The 16,051-nt window shown below is 39.1% G+C and overlaps 1 protein-coding gene across 40 annotated transcripts in view; it reads right to left on the reverse strand.

Annotated features, from left to right (window-relative positions):
• ICA1 (islet cell autoantigen 1) overlaps window positions 1-16,051 on the reverse strand; it is a 149,372-nt gene that overhangs the window by 41,425 nt on the left and 91,896 nt on the right. For 37 of the 40 annotated variants that reach the window (NR_146928.2, NR_146926.2, NR_146927.2 and 34 more), the window contains 2 exons: window positions 3,919-4,044; window positions 2,508-2,606 (listed from right to left, as the gene is read on the reverse strand). The exons of 1 other annotated variant lie outside the window; for it this stretch is intronic. Coding sequence is in view for 33 of the 39 variants with exons in the window: in XM_024446741.2 (XP_024302509.1) it covers window positions 2,508-2,606; window positions 3,919-4,044 (225 nt within the window). In the remaining 6 variants the exon portion in view is untranslated. Of the gene's footprint in view, window positions 1-2,507; window positions 2,607-3,392; window positions 3,490-3,918; window positions 4,045-16,051 lie in introns of those variants that run through there. 2 more of the 40 variants (XM_011515357.3, XR_002956427.2) reach the window with 2 other exon arrangements.

Here is a 16,051-nt window from a genome sequence, read left to right on the forward strand (position 1 = left end):
TAAATTAATCGTGGAAATATTTACTTAAATTTCAAAATGGCCATTATCAACACAGAGTGCCATTCAGAATAAAATTTTATATATTAAAAGATGACTTGATAAAATACAAATCTTATAAACACAGGACATGTATTAAAAATACTGGTGCAAGAGGGTTGGGAAGTCACACAATATCCTTGTATTTTACTGTGATACATTAAGTATTAATGGCTTTCACCATCATGTTTTGTGGCATACAAAACAATATGCAACATACTTATATCGATCTAATAGTGAGTTGTATCGTAACAGGATTCCATTATATCATATTTGAGTCCACATAAAGAAAAATATTAGGTTGGTGCAAAAGTAATTGTGGTTTTTGACACTAAAAGTAATGGAAAAACCCGTAATTACTTTTGAACCAACCTGATAATTATCTATCAGCTTGAGATTCTAATGTGATATGTCATCATTGAAAGCCTAGATGAAAACCATTCTAGAGAGGTAACAAAAGAACAAAAGTACAGTTTATTTGGTTGGTTTCTGAACATTTATTCTTAATATTACCATAACATCATTATACCCTAACAGATATATTATTACTCCTACTAAGATTATATCACAATTAAACCATGAACTATTACTTAAACCATAATTTAAGGAAGGCTCTGGGGATGTAAAAGCTAACAGATAGTCATCTGCCCAAAATATTTGTAAGTATGTCCTGAACCACTGCTGTCAAACTTTCACTAAATTCTCTGCCCAGAAATGCTCTAACATAATCAGCTTGATCCTCTCTGCAGGATAAACGTCGTAGCAAAAATTAAGGAGCCATATTTTCCTCAGCACAGGAGGCCAGGGATACACATGTGGGTTCTTCCATGCTTGTGGCACAACTTCAATTTCATGAATTCACATTGTACTTTATATGCAACTAACTCATGCCTGAAGTTCTTCTGAATTATACTTGGGGTAGGCATCATTTCATCTTCTAACTGGTTGGTGTATGTAATGTACAGTTGTCTTGTAAAAGACAGATAAGCTTTGAAATGATGTATAAAAGAAAACCCGATGCACATGCATGCCCTAAACCCTAAAAGCCTCTGCTTTATCAAAGAGTAAAATCCATGGGATTTTGCTCAGGCCTGTATAAGAATTGTGAATAGTGTGCATTATACTTTTAACCAATCTGCCTTGGTCAGAATGCCTGCTTCTGAAGGTGCAGTAAATCAGAGATGATGAAGCCCCTACCAACAACGGTAACATTGCCAGTGTGAAGGGGAAGGCTGAGGGCACACTGTGTACAAAACATTTGGCTAGACAAAAGAGGATACATAAGAAATAAAAGCTCCTTCCCCTGAAGTGCTTATAGTTGACAGAGCAAAACAGTGCTCACTGTGAACGCATTCACCATGCAACATGCCAGCTAGTGCCAATCAATGGGCGGGCGGCCAGCTGGGAGAGGATAATGAAGAACAAATTCTTTGGCCAGGTGTCCTGTCTGGAGCCAGGTCAGGTGCAGCACAAGGTGAGTGGACTTTCTTGGGTTCCTCTTGGAACCTTCATTTTAAGGGCCAGGGTCTTAAAGCATTTTTTGGTACTTGTATGTATGCACTGACATTATACACATCTCAGAATCAAAAAAATGGTTTAAAGCAAAAGAAATGCATTTGAATGTTTTAACGTCTTGTCAAGCAAGGTGATGAAACACATACAAATTGCTTGAACGATAAAGAGCAAGGCAAGTTCAAGGTGAACTTTAGCTAGTTCATGCCTCGTTTTCTTCTTGCAAAGACATGACCTGGCAATGAAGTACCCACTGTTCTCTCATCATCCTTAAAATCCTTTTGGAACCAAAATCACTTCTTTATCTCAATATGCATTCATCCTCTGTAACCACTAGAGAGAAAAACACTCCATGTGCAGATCCAATACTGAGAATCAGACACTGTGCACGTATCCCTACTGAGATGAAAAATCATTGAGTTTAATACTGCTTTTTCAATTAGAAAATATTGCTGTAGTCTTACAGAAAAATTCAATTTTATGTTGGATAATACTCTCAGAATAAAATGATACATTTCAGAAGTAAGAGAGGAAAGGAGGACACCTTCTCAAGTGAGGATATTTGAATATAATAATTAAAAGTAACTGAGTTTATGGGACTTGTACAATCTCCCCTTTAGCAATGTCAAACAAGTATTTTAAAGGAGCAGGACCAATCATTAGACTCAAGTTCACCACAATTCATCTCCCAGGAACATGTATCTCAAGGTTCAAGGTTCAATTCGCGCTTTTGGATTGCAGTAGATTCTCATTGTATTGAATCCTGATGCAGTAAAAAAAAAAAAAAAAAAAAAAAAAGAAAGAAAGAAAGAAAGAAAAAGACTCTGCTGGGGGCACAGTTCTCTCTTCAGCATTCTGAGTCCTGGAATAATGATGCTTTCTGCAATGGACTTTGCTTGTGATATAAACAAAACTTTACTTTTCTCAAGATTTTCTAGTGGCCCCTCTAGCTTCCATACCTTTAAAGTAGTAAATTCATATGGTTGATAACCTTTGAAACTCTCATGGATGGCTGCCATAGTGTGAGAAGTTTTCTCCCAAAAATGAAGCAGAGTGGTCTGCAAAGAAAGACAGTAAAGCTATTAATGTTTTGAATGCCCAGTTCTAGTCCTGGTCCCCAGGGAAGTATGACTCTCTGTAGCTTTGAAGATTCTTTAAAGCATGATTCTAACTCATTTCCATGCTTCCCATTATGCCCCCAATTACACTCTGTATTTCAGCCAAACTAAATGCCTCCCTGTTTCCCCAAATGCTGCCTCCCAGAACTCATGCTGCTCCCACCACCTGGGACATTCTCCTCTCCATTCTCTTTTTCTCATCTGATCCATCCTCCAAAACCCAGGGTAAATAATTAACGCTCTACTGTTGCAATCCCTCAGCTGATTCTATTTCTCCCTCTTTAAGCTGTCACTGGCTTTCTTAGAACTTATTTCACTTAGCACACTCTGCTCTGTCCTAGAGGTATAGAAAAATAGACTTCACTATCTCCAGATTCTTCCTAAACTTTGAGCTCTTTGAAGACAAGGAACCTAGTCTTAATTTTTTTTTTTTTTTTTGAGATGGAGTCTTGCTCTGTCGCTCAGGCTGGAGTGCAGTGGTGCGATCTCGGCTCACTTCGCCTCCCAGGTTCAAGCAATTCTCCTGCCTCAGCCTCCCAAGTAGCTGAAACTACAGGCGCCCACCACCATGCCCGACTAATTTTTGTATTTTTTTAGTAGAGACGAGGTTTCACCATGTTGGCCAGGCTGGTCTCGAACTCCTGACCTCAAGTGATCCGCCTGCCTCGGCCTCCCAAAGTGCTAGGATTACAGGTGAGAGCCACTGTGCCCAGCCCTGGTCTTAACTGTTATATTTCCTACAACATCCAGCATTCTGCATCCTGCCCTCAGTTGGTGCTCAGTAGCATTGTTGATGCAGTGTTATCCGGAAGGAACTCAGAGGCTATCAGGGGAAACAAAAACAATGCATTGAATACTGACAACCTGATGAGAAAGATATGCCACGAGATGGACAGACACAACGCTAAGTGAGTTCAGAGGAGGCTTACTGAAAAAGGCGTGACATTCTGTCTCGTACATTAAAAAGAATGGAATTTGGAAAGGCACGGATGGAGGAGAAAGGCACTCCAGGTAGAAGGGACCCCATAAGTAAATGTACAGAAGTGGGAAATTATGGTATATACAGGAAATAACTACTATTTGGTTTGGTTAAACGTAGGGCCCTAGAAGGCAGAGATGTGGGAAGTGAAATTACGGAAAGGCATTCAGAACTTCACAATGGCCAAAGCTTACTTTTAGCTCAAACACCATTTTGATGTTATTTAAACCTTGTGCCATCCTTGGTTCATTGCAACAAACATTATTTTGTTACCTGGTATGTTGCTAGCATGTGAGACAAGAGATTGCATCTGCTCGCTCCAAGAAGATCCACTTTTTGACAAACATCCATCTTCAATTTGTCAAAGTTTTTTTTTGCAAGGCGCACTTGTGTTTGTACCTATGAAAATAAAGAGGAATTTCTGAATCACCCTAACCCTTAAGTAGGTAAAATTTGCAGGTGAAATGAGACCAACAGCAGGCCTTTTCTCTTTCACATATGAAAAGACTTTTGAAAATTCCAGACAAATGGGAAGATGTTACAACATCCATTCTTTACCTCCAAAGGAGCCAAATGAGAGTACTGCATATTATGATTTTATAGCACACTTGTCATCCTAATTCTATTTTTCTTAGTCTAATGTTAAAATCCTTTCTTCTCAAGGCATTCACAAACTGATCATGGTTGGGAGAAGACTGGAGACAAGCAGGGTGGTGAGGAAATCAGCTTTGCTCCATTGTTTTCCTACAGTCTTTAGAAGCTGAGTTCCCTCATACCCTTCACTCAGCTTCCCCTAGTGTTAACATCTTATAGAACATGCTACATTTGTTAAAACAAAGAAATTTACAGTGATACAATCCTATTTACTAACCTACAGACTTTATTTGGATTTCACCAGTTTTCCCACTAATGTCCTTTTTCTGTTCCAGGATCCAATCTAAGATCCCGTCGGAGGGAATTTTGACACAGCCTAAAAAAACTATTCCCATGGATGAAACTTTTTACTACTGAGTAACGTGTACTAGTAATCCTCCATCGATCCTTAAACCATACAGGAATTTGGGGATGGAGTGAACGTCAGGGAAAGATTCAGAAACATCTATTTTACACATTATTTCATAACAAAATAGAAAGTTTTACAACTTGATACGGCTGCATTGAAAATTGTGAGGTCAAGGCCAGGCACAGTGGCTTAAACCTGTAATTTCAACAATTTAGGAGGCTGAGGTGGGTGGATCACTTGATCTCAGGAGTTTGAGACCAGCCTGGGCAAAACGGTGAAACCCCATCTCTACAACAACAAAGGTGTGGGGTTGCACGCCTATAGTCCCAGCTACTGGGGAGGCTAAGGTGGGAGGATCACTTGAGCGTGGGAGGTGGAGGTTGCAGTGAGCCAAGATTGTGCCACTGCACCCCAGCCTGGGTGACAGTGAGAGCCTGTCTCAAAAAAAACAAACAAATAAACATCCAACAACAAAACCAAAAAACAAAACAAAATATGAAGTTAAAATTACACCCTCCTTCAATCTATAGTGTCAACACAGCATATTTTGGCTAGAGAAAACCAGCCAATTTTTCAAAAACCACCTTACTGAGGTATGATTGACATATAAAAAGCTGTACATATTCAGTGTATTCAGTGTGATGAGTTCAAATATTAATTTATCTCAGATCATCGTAAAGTTATAGATACTAGATAGGTTACTGAGAGTTGGAAGTAACACTGATGTATTAATAATTCTTTCATCATAGGATACCAGGAGGGCATGGACCATGTCTACGTTGTTCATCATTATATTGCCTAGCAACCTGGCGCAAAGCAGGTACTGAATACGTATTTGTTGGCTGAATAAAGAAATTTTTCAAGCCATTGCAAAAGGTGAGGTATTTGCATGCATTTTAAAGTATAACCTTTAATGTAGTTTAAGAAGTGATGATTTTATTTTCTAATAAAAATAAATACATAGATCATTTTATATAAAATACATTCATTTTCACCACTAATATGAACATATTCACAATGTATAAAATTATAGGATGTTATATAATAATAACTAAATCTAACAGTGAATACAATTTACTTATCACATGTCAGCATCATTCTATTTTGGCTGCTGTTATTACTGTCTCTTACTGATGAGGATTGCGAGGCTTCATCAAGGCAAGTTACTCATGGGCAGGGCTGGCATTCTAAATTAGCCGGCCTGACTCCAAAGCCATGCTATTCTGCCTCCCGAGCAACTTAGGCTACTCACTGGAAAATCAAGAAGCTCAGAATTATGATTCTACCCAGAAATACAAGTTTTCCCTGAAGGATTCTATGGAATTGGAAAATAATGAGGCAGTACATTGAACACTACACTGATAGAAAGAATTAATACTCTGTATGAATAGAATCTTGTGTCTATAGCTATGTCAAAACTGTCCTAAGACTTCTTCTGTATTCTTGGTCTACAGATCTGGGAAGATCAAAGATCAGTAGCCACCCAGTTCCTTTCAAACTGACCATACCATGAGCTGGACGGTTCTCCACTGCAGAGCAAAGAGCCAGTAGTTTAAATTCCCTGGGAGCTCTGACTATAAAAAGAGTCTAGGATGAGTAAGTGTTAGAGATTTCCTGCCTCCCTTTGAGAGGAATAGGAAGGCAGAAAAAAGAAAACCTAATTTCTGGAGGGGAGAATCGGGGGAGTCTGGAGGGGAAGATGTTCACTGTAGATCCCTGTGTTGGTCATCGGTTGCTCTGGCCAGGAAGGCCGCCTCAGCTGGGGTCCTGAAAGGCATCTGTCTTCAGCCTTTTCCTACAAAGGGGAAGAAAATACACGTGGGAGTCGGAGCTTTCAAGTATGTATTCATTCAACACGTATTTACTGAGTGCCTGGTGTGTGTCAGGACCAACGCTAGGAACTAGGGTGTCTATAAAGCTGTAAAGGAATGAGGTACATAACAGGGAGTCAATAAATATTTATAAATGAATGCACATAGCATAAAGACCCCCTCATCTCTTAAGGAGGACAGACAAGTTAGTCACTATATTATAATAGAATGGGAAAATTAAAAACATAGAACTAAGAGGAACAGAGAGACAGCACAGACAAGGAAATGATTAATGCTGGTGGTGGAACAGAGAGGGGTGGGGTTGTAGGATGATGGCATTAAAGCCTTAACTAATGGCCTCCCTGTATTCTCATTCTTTGCCCTGTAACTCTGTAGTGTTCTCCTACTCTGACTCTGAGCTCGGCCATGTGACTTGCGTTGGTCAATGGGATGTTAACAAATGTAATGAAACTGTAAGCTTGACAAAACAATGCCAGCCTGTTTCCACTTTCTCTCTTGCTTCTTTGAGAGGGCCATCAGAATATGCCTGGGCTGACCAGCTGGAGGGGGGTGAGAAACATATGCATGCAAGAGACGTGAGGAGGAGAGACCAGTTGTCCCAGCAGATCAGTCTTTGACCAGCTGACTCTGAGATATGTGAGGGAGCCCAGCCATTATCAGCAGAGACCCTCCCTGCCCACAGCTGACCACAGACACAAGTGAGCCCACAAAGACGAGAATGGTCCTGCTTACCATAGCCTTGTGTGCAATGAGAAATGCTTATTGTTTTAAGCCATTGAGTGTTATGGTTGCTTATTTCACAGCATTATTGTGGTTATAGACAACTGATATAAACTGTAAGGAAACAGACAATGAAGGCTTCTGAAATGATGGGATATTTGAGGTGGGTCTTAGGCATGACTAGGAGGTACAAAGTAAATATAAGGTATTCGTAAGGCTGGCCTACTTATATGGAACCTCTAGATTTTCTAACGAAATGCGAATTAACTTTTTCTGCAGGGGTGTCAATTTTGCTTTTTCCTTTACGTTAACATAATCAGTTACTCATAGATTCTCTTATATCTTAGGAGAAAACTTATTTCACTTGCTATAACACAAAGCTCATGAATTAGCGTAGTTTGAAATGTACCCTAATTTCATTTTGTTTGAATTTTGTAAGGTAATTTTAGAAACCTAGAAGACAACTTCAACACTTGACCCAATGATTCTGAAAGGCCATATGCTTTGTATGTCAACAATGATTATTAAAATACTTAATGCACTGCTGAGTTTCCAAATGCTGAGCCCTTTCCCTGCCAAACAGGGAGGATGCTACACTGTTGGGCGTTTTGAATACAGCAAAGTTCATTTAATATTTTGTGCTCCATGTCTGCTCTAGAAAACACATTTCCAGCCTGAAGCCTGAGGTTAAAACACCAAGGACATAGCCAAGCATAGGCCACTATCAAGAGTCTAATTTCATATGCCTCCAGATGCACTTAAGTGACAAACGTCTTGATTATTATTCCTCTCAACCCTAGATAAGTTATATTCTATTACATAAATATCTTGAGGAGCTCCTGTGGTTTTGAAGGCCCTTTTAAAATTTTCTTCACTCAAATAAATGTACCCTTTATTTCTTAGTTTTATTTCTGTTACCCCATCTATCTTCTCTTATTCTCCAAGTTGTAGGAAATGGTCATTTATTTATTTAGAGATGGAGTCTCGCTCTGTCACCCAGGCTGGAATGCAGTGGTGCGATCTTGGCTCACTGCAACCGCTGCCTCCTGGGTTCAAGCAATTCTCCTGCCTCGGCCTCCCTAGTAGCTGGGATTACAGGCTTGCGCCACCACGCCTGGCTAATTTTTGTATTTTTAGTAGAGATACGGTTTCACCATGTTGGCCAGGCTGGTCTTGAACTTGTGACCTCAGAAAATCCGCCCGCCTTGGCCTCCCAAAGTGCTAGGATTACAGCTATGAGCCACTGCGCCTAGTCTAATGGCCATGTATTTTAGAGCCTCCTTAGTCTGGGTTCTGTCTTCCTCAGGCCACAGCAATTCAGTTTACCAGAGAAAGGAGCAATGATTTGACTGGCAAAACATCAGAGCCCTTCTCTGTACTTATTCCTTCTAACCTGAAATTCTAACTCTTAGCCCCAAATTGAACAACGCATGGTGAAGCCAAAGCTATTCGTACTTTCAGTTCAATCTGGCTTTTCTATCCAGTGGAAAGGTCTTTATTATTCTACAACCAATAATATGACAGTAGTTTTGCATTTTTCTAAGAGTTTTATTAACCTTATAAAATAAAACAATGATTCTACTCTCATTTTTATATCTTCTTATAGGAGATAGCTCTGGCCTTAAATCCATTCATTCAGCAAATACTTATTGAGTATCTTCTATATGCTGGTAGCAGTCGGCACAAATGGAATCGATAGTACATTGGGTATATTTCAGATCAGCGAAGGTGTAACTATGAACTGAGTGAGGTACTCAGAAGGAAAGTCACATAGTCCCTCAAGAATGATTGACCAAGGAATCTGACCCAGAGGATGTCCTCCGAGGACATGGTGCTCAACCTCTACTCTGAAGGACTAGCATGATTAACTATGCAAGGAGGGAGAGAAGTCCAGTGGAAGGAAAAGTGTGTGCAAGGGTTGTGGGGTGGAGGACAATAAAGCAGGTCCTAGAGCTGAGAGTAGGTCAGTGTAGCTGCGTTGCTCAGAACGAGCAGGAGGGTGGGATGAGATGAGGCAGAGAGGTGAGTTGGGGCACATCCTGGAGCAGCACCTTGTTGGCGTGCTCAGGATTTTAATTTTTATCCTGGAATAGCAGAAAAACACTGGAGGCTTTTAAGCAAGGAAGAGAGAGGATCCTATTTTCAGTTTGAAAGATTACTCACTGCAGTGGGAGATGGACTGAAGGAGAGAGTTGAAGGTAGATAAGAATAGATTTGGGCTGGGCTCAGTGGCTCATGCCTGTAATCCGCACTTTGGGAGCTGAGGTGGGCGGATCACCCGAGGTCAGGAGTTTGAGACCAGCCTGGCCAACATGGTGAAACCCCGTCTCTACTAAAAATACAAAAATTTGATAGTGTGGTGGTACACGCCTGTAATCCTAGCTACTCAGGAGGCTGAGGCAGGAGAATCGCTAGAACTTGGGAGGCAGAGGTAGCAGTGAACTGAGATCGTCGCACTGCACTCCAGCCTGGGCGACCGAGCGAGACTCCGTCTCAAAAAAAAAAAAAAAAAAAAAAAAAAGAATAGATCTGGAGTCAAGAGGAAAGATGTTAGTAGTTTAGATTTGGATAGTGATGCTGGTTATGGAAAATACTGCTCTGATCCAAAAGACACTTAAGAGGCAAAGCAGGCCCTGGTGAGGGGTTGAGTGCTGGGGTGTGGAGGATGACTCCTCTGTACCTGACTACCCCAGACTTAATGTTATTGTCTAGCTTGCCTTTCCACCAGCCAGTTCTACTCACATCAACTTCTCATGGACACCTCAGACCACATCAGAAATCTTGGCCTTCTTCCCCAATCAGCTCTAATACTCCTCCGTCATTAACTGGATCTGTTCACCCCTATTTTCCCCTGAGGCAACATCCTGCATTCAGGGAAAATTTTAAGATCACTGAATATATCAATTACTTCTTTTGGCCTTTAATAAGGTGCCACAGGAGAAAGTCTAAGCCAGCCCATCTGAAGTCACTTCAAAAACAGAAGGTCAGGCTGGGTACAGTGCTGCATACTGGTAATCCCAGTACTTTGGGAGGCTGAGATGGGTGGACTGCTTGAGCCCAGGTGTTCAAGACCAGCCTGGGCAACATGGCAAAACCCTATCTCTACAAAAGATACAAAAATTTGCCAGGCTGGTGGCACCTGCCTGTAGTCCTAGCTACTCAGAGAGTTAAGGTGGGAGGATTGCCTGAGCCCAGGAGGTGGAGGCTGCAGTGAGCTGTGATCATGCCACTGCACTCCAGAAGCAGCCTGGGTGACAGTAAGACCCTGTCTCAAAAACAAACAAACAAACACCCCAAAACAGAAGGTCAGATATTTATTTGGCTTCATTAAAAGAGGATCTTTTCATCCGAGGCTGATGAACCAAGACCTCTCGAGGGCCAAATAACCAAGAATTTTGCTGAATTCCTTTAATTAACACTTCCTTTAATTAACAATTTATGTTACTTCATTTATCATATATGCATCCACTCATGGCAGAAGCAATTTTCATATTTTATTATGCAAAGAAGTATGTGTAAGTGAATGTGTGTGCACCACACATGTGTGTGGGCAGCCAACAGTAGACTTCAGGATCTATTTTTGGTCTCCCCTCAACGATATCCTTACCTCATTGAAAAAATGTTTCTTCTCAGCATTCCCCTTGAAAACCAGAACAAGACAACGATGCCCTCTCTCAGTACTCCTATTCAACATAATATTGGAAGTCCTAGCTTTGAGCCATGAGGCAAGAAAAGAAAGAAAAGGCACCCAAATAGGAAGAGAGGAAGTCAAGCTATCCCTGTTTGCAGATAATAATACTCTATACCCAGAAAGCCCCATCATCTCTTCCCAAAGCTTCTTGATCTGATAAACAACTTCAGCAAAGTCTTAAAATATAAAATCAATTATAAAAAAAATCAGCATTTATATACACCAACAACAACCAAGCTGAAAGCCAAATCAAGAATGCAATCCCATTCACAATAGCCACAAAAGGAATAAAACACTTAGGAATACAGCTATCCAGGAAGGTGCAAAATTTCTACAGTGAGAATTACAAAACACTGCTCAGTGAAATCAGAGATGACACAGATGGAAAAATATTCCATGCTCATGGATAGGAAGAATCAATATTGTTGAAATGTCCATACTGCCCAAAGCAATCACAGGTTCAATGCTATTCCTATAAAACTACCAATGCCATTCGTTACAGAAGTAGAAAGATCTATTTTAAAATTTCATATAGAACCAAAAAAAGAGCCTAAATAGCCAACGTAGTCCTAAGCAAAACGAACAAAGCAGTAGGTATCACATGACCTGACTTCAAACTATACTACAAGGCTACAGTAACCAAAACAGCATATTGGTGTTATTAATTACCAGTAAAACGTAATTATTAATAATGGCCTATCATGAAAAGAACCTTCAATTTACTTCTTAGGGCTAGATTTCTCTGTGGGCCTATATGCACATAAGGCAAAAGCATGGAACGGGTACAAAAACAGACACGTAGACCAGTGGAGCAGAATAGAGAGCCCAGAAATAATGCCACACACCTACAACCATGTGATCTTCAACAAAGTCGACAAAAACAAGTAATGGAGAAAGGACTCCATATTCAATAAATGGTGCTGGGATAACTGCTAGGCATATGCAGAAGACTGAAACTGGACTCTTTCCTTACACCATACAAAAATATCAACTCAAGATGAATTAAAGACTTAAATGAAAAAACTAAAACTATGAAAACATTGAAAGATAACCTGGGACAAACCATTCTGGACTAGGACCTAACAAAGATTTCATGACGAAAATGCCAAAAGCAATTTAACAAAAGCAAAAATTGGCAAATGGGACCAAAGTAAACTAAAGAGCTTCTGTACAGCAAAAGAAACTATCAACAGAGAAAAAAGACAACTTACAGAATGGGAGAAAATATTTGCAAACTATGTATCTGGCAAGGGTCTAATATCCAGAATCTATAAGTAACTTAAATTTACAAGCAAAAAACAAACCACTTGATTAAAAAACAGGCCAAAACCATAAACAGACACTATTCAAAAGAAGACATGGCCAAGAAGCATATGAAAAGAATGCTCAACATCACTAATCATAGAGAAATGAAATCAAAACTACAGTAAGATATATCTCACACTAGTCAGAATGGCTATTAAAAAGTCAAAAAATGACATGCTGGTGAGGCTGCAGAAAAAAGGAATGTGTATATACTGCTGGTGGGAATGTAAATTAGTCAGCCTTTGGGAACAGCAGTTTGGTGAGTTCTCAAAGAACTTAAAAAGGAATTACCATTTGACCCAACAATCCCATTATTGGGAATATATCCAAAGGAATGTAAATCATTCTACCATAAAGACACATGCACACATGTGCTCATCATAGCACTATTCATAATAGCAAAGATATGGAATCAACCTAAACACCCACCAGTGGTAGAGTGGATAAGGAAAATGCGGTACATATGCACCATAGCATACTACACAGCCATAAAAAGAAATGAGATCATGTCCTCTGCAGCAACATGGATGCAGATGGAGGTCATTATCCTAAGTGAACTAACACAGGAACAGAAAAACAAATACTGCATGTTCTCACCTAGAGTAGAAGCTAAATATTGAGTACATATAGACACAAAGAAGGGAACAACAGACACCAACGCCTACTTGCGGGTAGGTGGAGGGTGGGAAGAGGGTGAGGATAAAAAAACTGCCTATCAGCTACTATGCTTATTTCCTAAGTGACAAAATAATCTGTACACCAAACCCCCCGGCATGTAATTTACCTAAATAACAAACCTGCACCTGTACCCCTGAACCTAAAATAAATGTTAAAAAAAAGCATTATTAAACAAACAAAACAATTTTCTTCTCTTTACTTTAATAACGTGGTTTAAATGGGGGGTGGCAAGCCTTTTTATAGGCCAAATTCCACTGACTAGACCAGGGATGGACATCTTTACCCAAGTTGAATTAATCATAATGCACTGTGGTTGGCTAATTCAGTGAACGGCACCTGATCAAAGCTGGGTGAATCAGAGCCCTTCCTTAGGATTTCTGAACCTGGAGCTAGAGTGAAAAAGTCTCCTTCCTTCTCTGTTGGCTAAAGCATTAGGGGCAGACAATCTTGCCATTTAAATTTCTTGTGGTGTAAGGAACATTGGTCTGAGAGAACAAAGGTGGCCTACAAAGAAAAACAGGGGGGAGAGAGCAGAGAGAGAAAAAGAGGGAGAGAGAGAGAGAGAGACGGAGAGACTGAGAGACCTAGTAGCACTAAAGTTTCTGGATCCAGTTGCTTTTCCTATGGTCACATGGGATTTCTAATTAACTCCTCTGCTTGCCTCAATGAATCAAGAGGAATTTCTGTTTTGTGGAATCCGGATAGCACAGACACAGGCTGCTTACTTTTGCCTGCTTAGCAATTCATATGAAAGGATCTAAGAAGTTTCATGATAAAGGTTTCTTTTTAACTTTGATTACTCCAGTGTTTCCAAAATTTATTTTAGAAACACAGAACCCTTTCCATTTATCAGATACCACCTATTACATGCCATAACATTTGTTTGGGAAATCCCTATTTTACAGAAGAGGAAATCGAGACCCAGATACTCATCTGACAAATAAATATCAGATCCAGACTCAGGTGTATTTGGTTGTATAATCCATGCTCTTTAAACCATGGGACACAGGGTCACAAATCTACCACCATTGACCACGTGACTGACAGTATTCTGAGATGTGCACAAAATGTTTAGATACCATCTCAAGAACCCCTGGTCAACAATGTTGATCTTATCAGTTTCAAAGTAGGCATAGGGAAACTTCAAGCCACATAGCCTGAACAGAGCTTCTATTATCAGAAATCTTGCTAAGTTTCTTTAGCTCAGGCTTCTCAACGCAGTAGAAAGAAATTAGCCCATCAAATTCCCTCAAGTGCACTGTGGTCAGTGGATTCCCTGTTTTTAGGGGAAAAGTATGCAGAGAGGGTATCTGTTTATTGTGCACCTTGGAGATGATGCCTCTATTTCCTTCATTATCATATCATCATCTTCATCATCATTACTTTTAAGCAGCTTTGTTGAGCTACAATTTAATTTCAGATGTGCAATTCTATGAATTTTTGAACAAACGTATATAGTTATGCAACTATGACCACAATCATGATATAAGACATTCTATATTCCTAAAAGTTCCCGTTGTAGTCAATTCCTTCCCTCAAGTCCCAGCTCCTGCCAACTACTAATCTGACTTCTGTCACTATAGATTATATTTGTCTTTCTACAGTTTCATATAAATAGAATTATGCCAAGTAGTCTATAGTCTTTTTTTGTGGCTGGATTCTTTCACTCAGCACAATCCTTTCTGAGATAAGTGTTGTTGCATGTATTAGTAGTGTGTTCTTTTTTATTTCTCAAGTAGTATTTAATTGTATGAATATACTGTTACTTGTACATCAATTTTTTGGCTCTTTTGTTTATTGTTTCCAATTTTTGGTGATTTTGAGTAAAGCTGTTATAAATATTTGAGCAAAAGTCTTTGTGTAAACACATTTTTCATTTCTCTTTGGTAAATGTCTAAGGGCAGGATTGCTAAATCATACAGTAAGTGTGTGCTTAACTTTATAAGACATTGCCAAACCATTTTCCAAAGTAACTGCATCATTTTGTATTCCTACCAGCAATGAATACAAGTTCTATTTGCTCCACATCCTCATTAACATTTGGCATTTTCGGTCTTTTAAATTCAAGCCATTATAGTCATAATTATTGTGATTTTAATTTGCATTTCTCTAATGACTAATGATATTGAACTTCTTTTCATATCTTATTTGCCACATATATTTTTAGTAATGTGTCTATTCAAATCTTTCACCTATTTTAAAAATGGGTTTATCTTTTTATTACTGAATTTTAAGAGTTCTTTATATGTTCTAAATACAAATTCATTATCAGACTAAATTTGAAAACATTTTCTTTAAGTCTGAACTTGCCTTTCATTTTCTTAATAGTGCCTTTTGAAATAAAAACGTTTTAAATTTTGATGAAGTCTGATTTACCAAGTTTTCTTTTATGGTTGTGTGTGTGTGTTTTAATGCCTGAGTGTGTGTGTGTGTGTGTGTGTGTGTTTTAATGCCTGAACAAACCTTCCCCTAATCTAAGGTCTAAAAGACTGTTTTCCTGCACTTTTTCTTCTAGAAATGTAGTATTTTTAGCTATTACATTTAGACTTGAGATCTGATTCAAGTTCACATTTACACATGGTGTGGGACAAAGATGTAGGCTCATTTTGTTTTTCCTCAATACGGATACCCAATAGTCCAAGCACCACTTCTTGAAAAACCGCCTTAACTTGGCTCTTTTGTGTAGGTCTATTTCTGGACTTTCTATTATTCTGATCTATATGTCTGTCCTTATGCCAATACCACACTGTCTCGATTACTGTCACTTTACAGTAAGTCTTGAAATCATGTAGTATAAATCTTACTCTTTTGTTCTTGTTTGAAATTGTTTTGCCCATTCCAGGTACATCACATTTCTATACAAATCTTAGGGTCAGCTTGTCAATTTCTACAAAAAAGCCTTTGGGGGGTTATTAGGACTGCATTGAATCTACAGATTTATTGGAAACAATTGACATCTTAATATCTTCTGACCCAGGAATGCATTCTCTCTCTCCATTTATTGGATTTTTAAATTGTCTTGGCACTTTTTGGGTAGATTTTGGTGCACAGGTCTTGCATATATTTTGTTAAATTTATTGTTAAACATTTCATATTTTGATGCTATTATAATTTCTAAAAAATTCAATTGCTAATTGTTCATTACTAGAAATATAATTAATTTTTATAACTTCAGCT

This window comes from Homo sapiens, chromosome 7 (genome assembly GCF_000001405.40).
Source record: "Homo sapiens chromosome 7, GRCh38.p14 Primary Assembly".
Taxonomy (NCBI): Eukaryota; Metazoa; Chordata; class Mammalia; order Primates; family Hominidae; genus Homo; species Homo sapiens.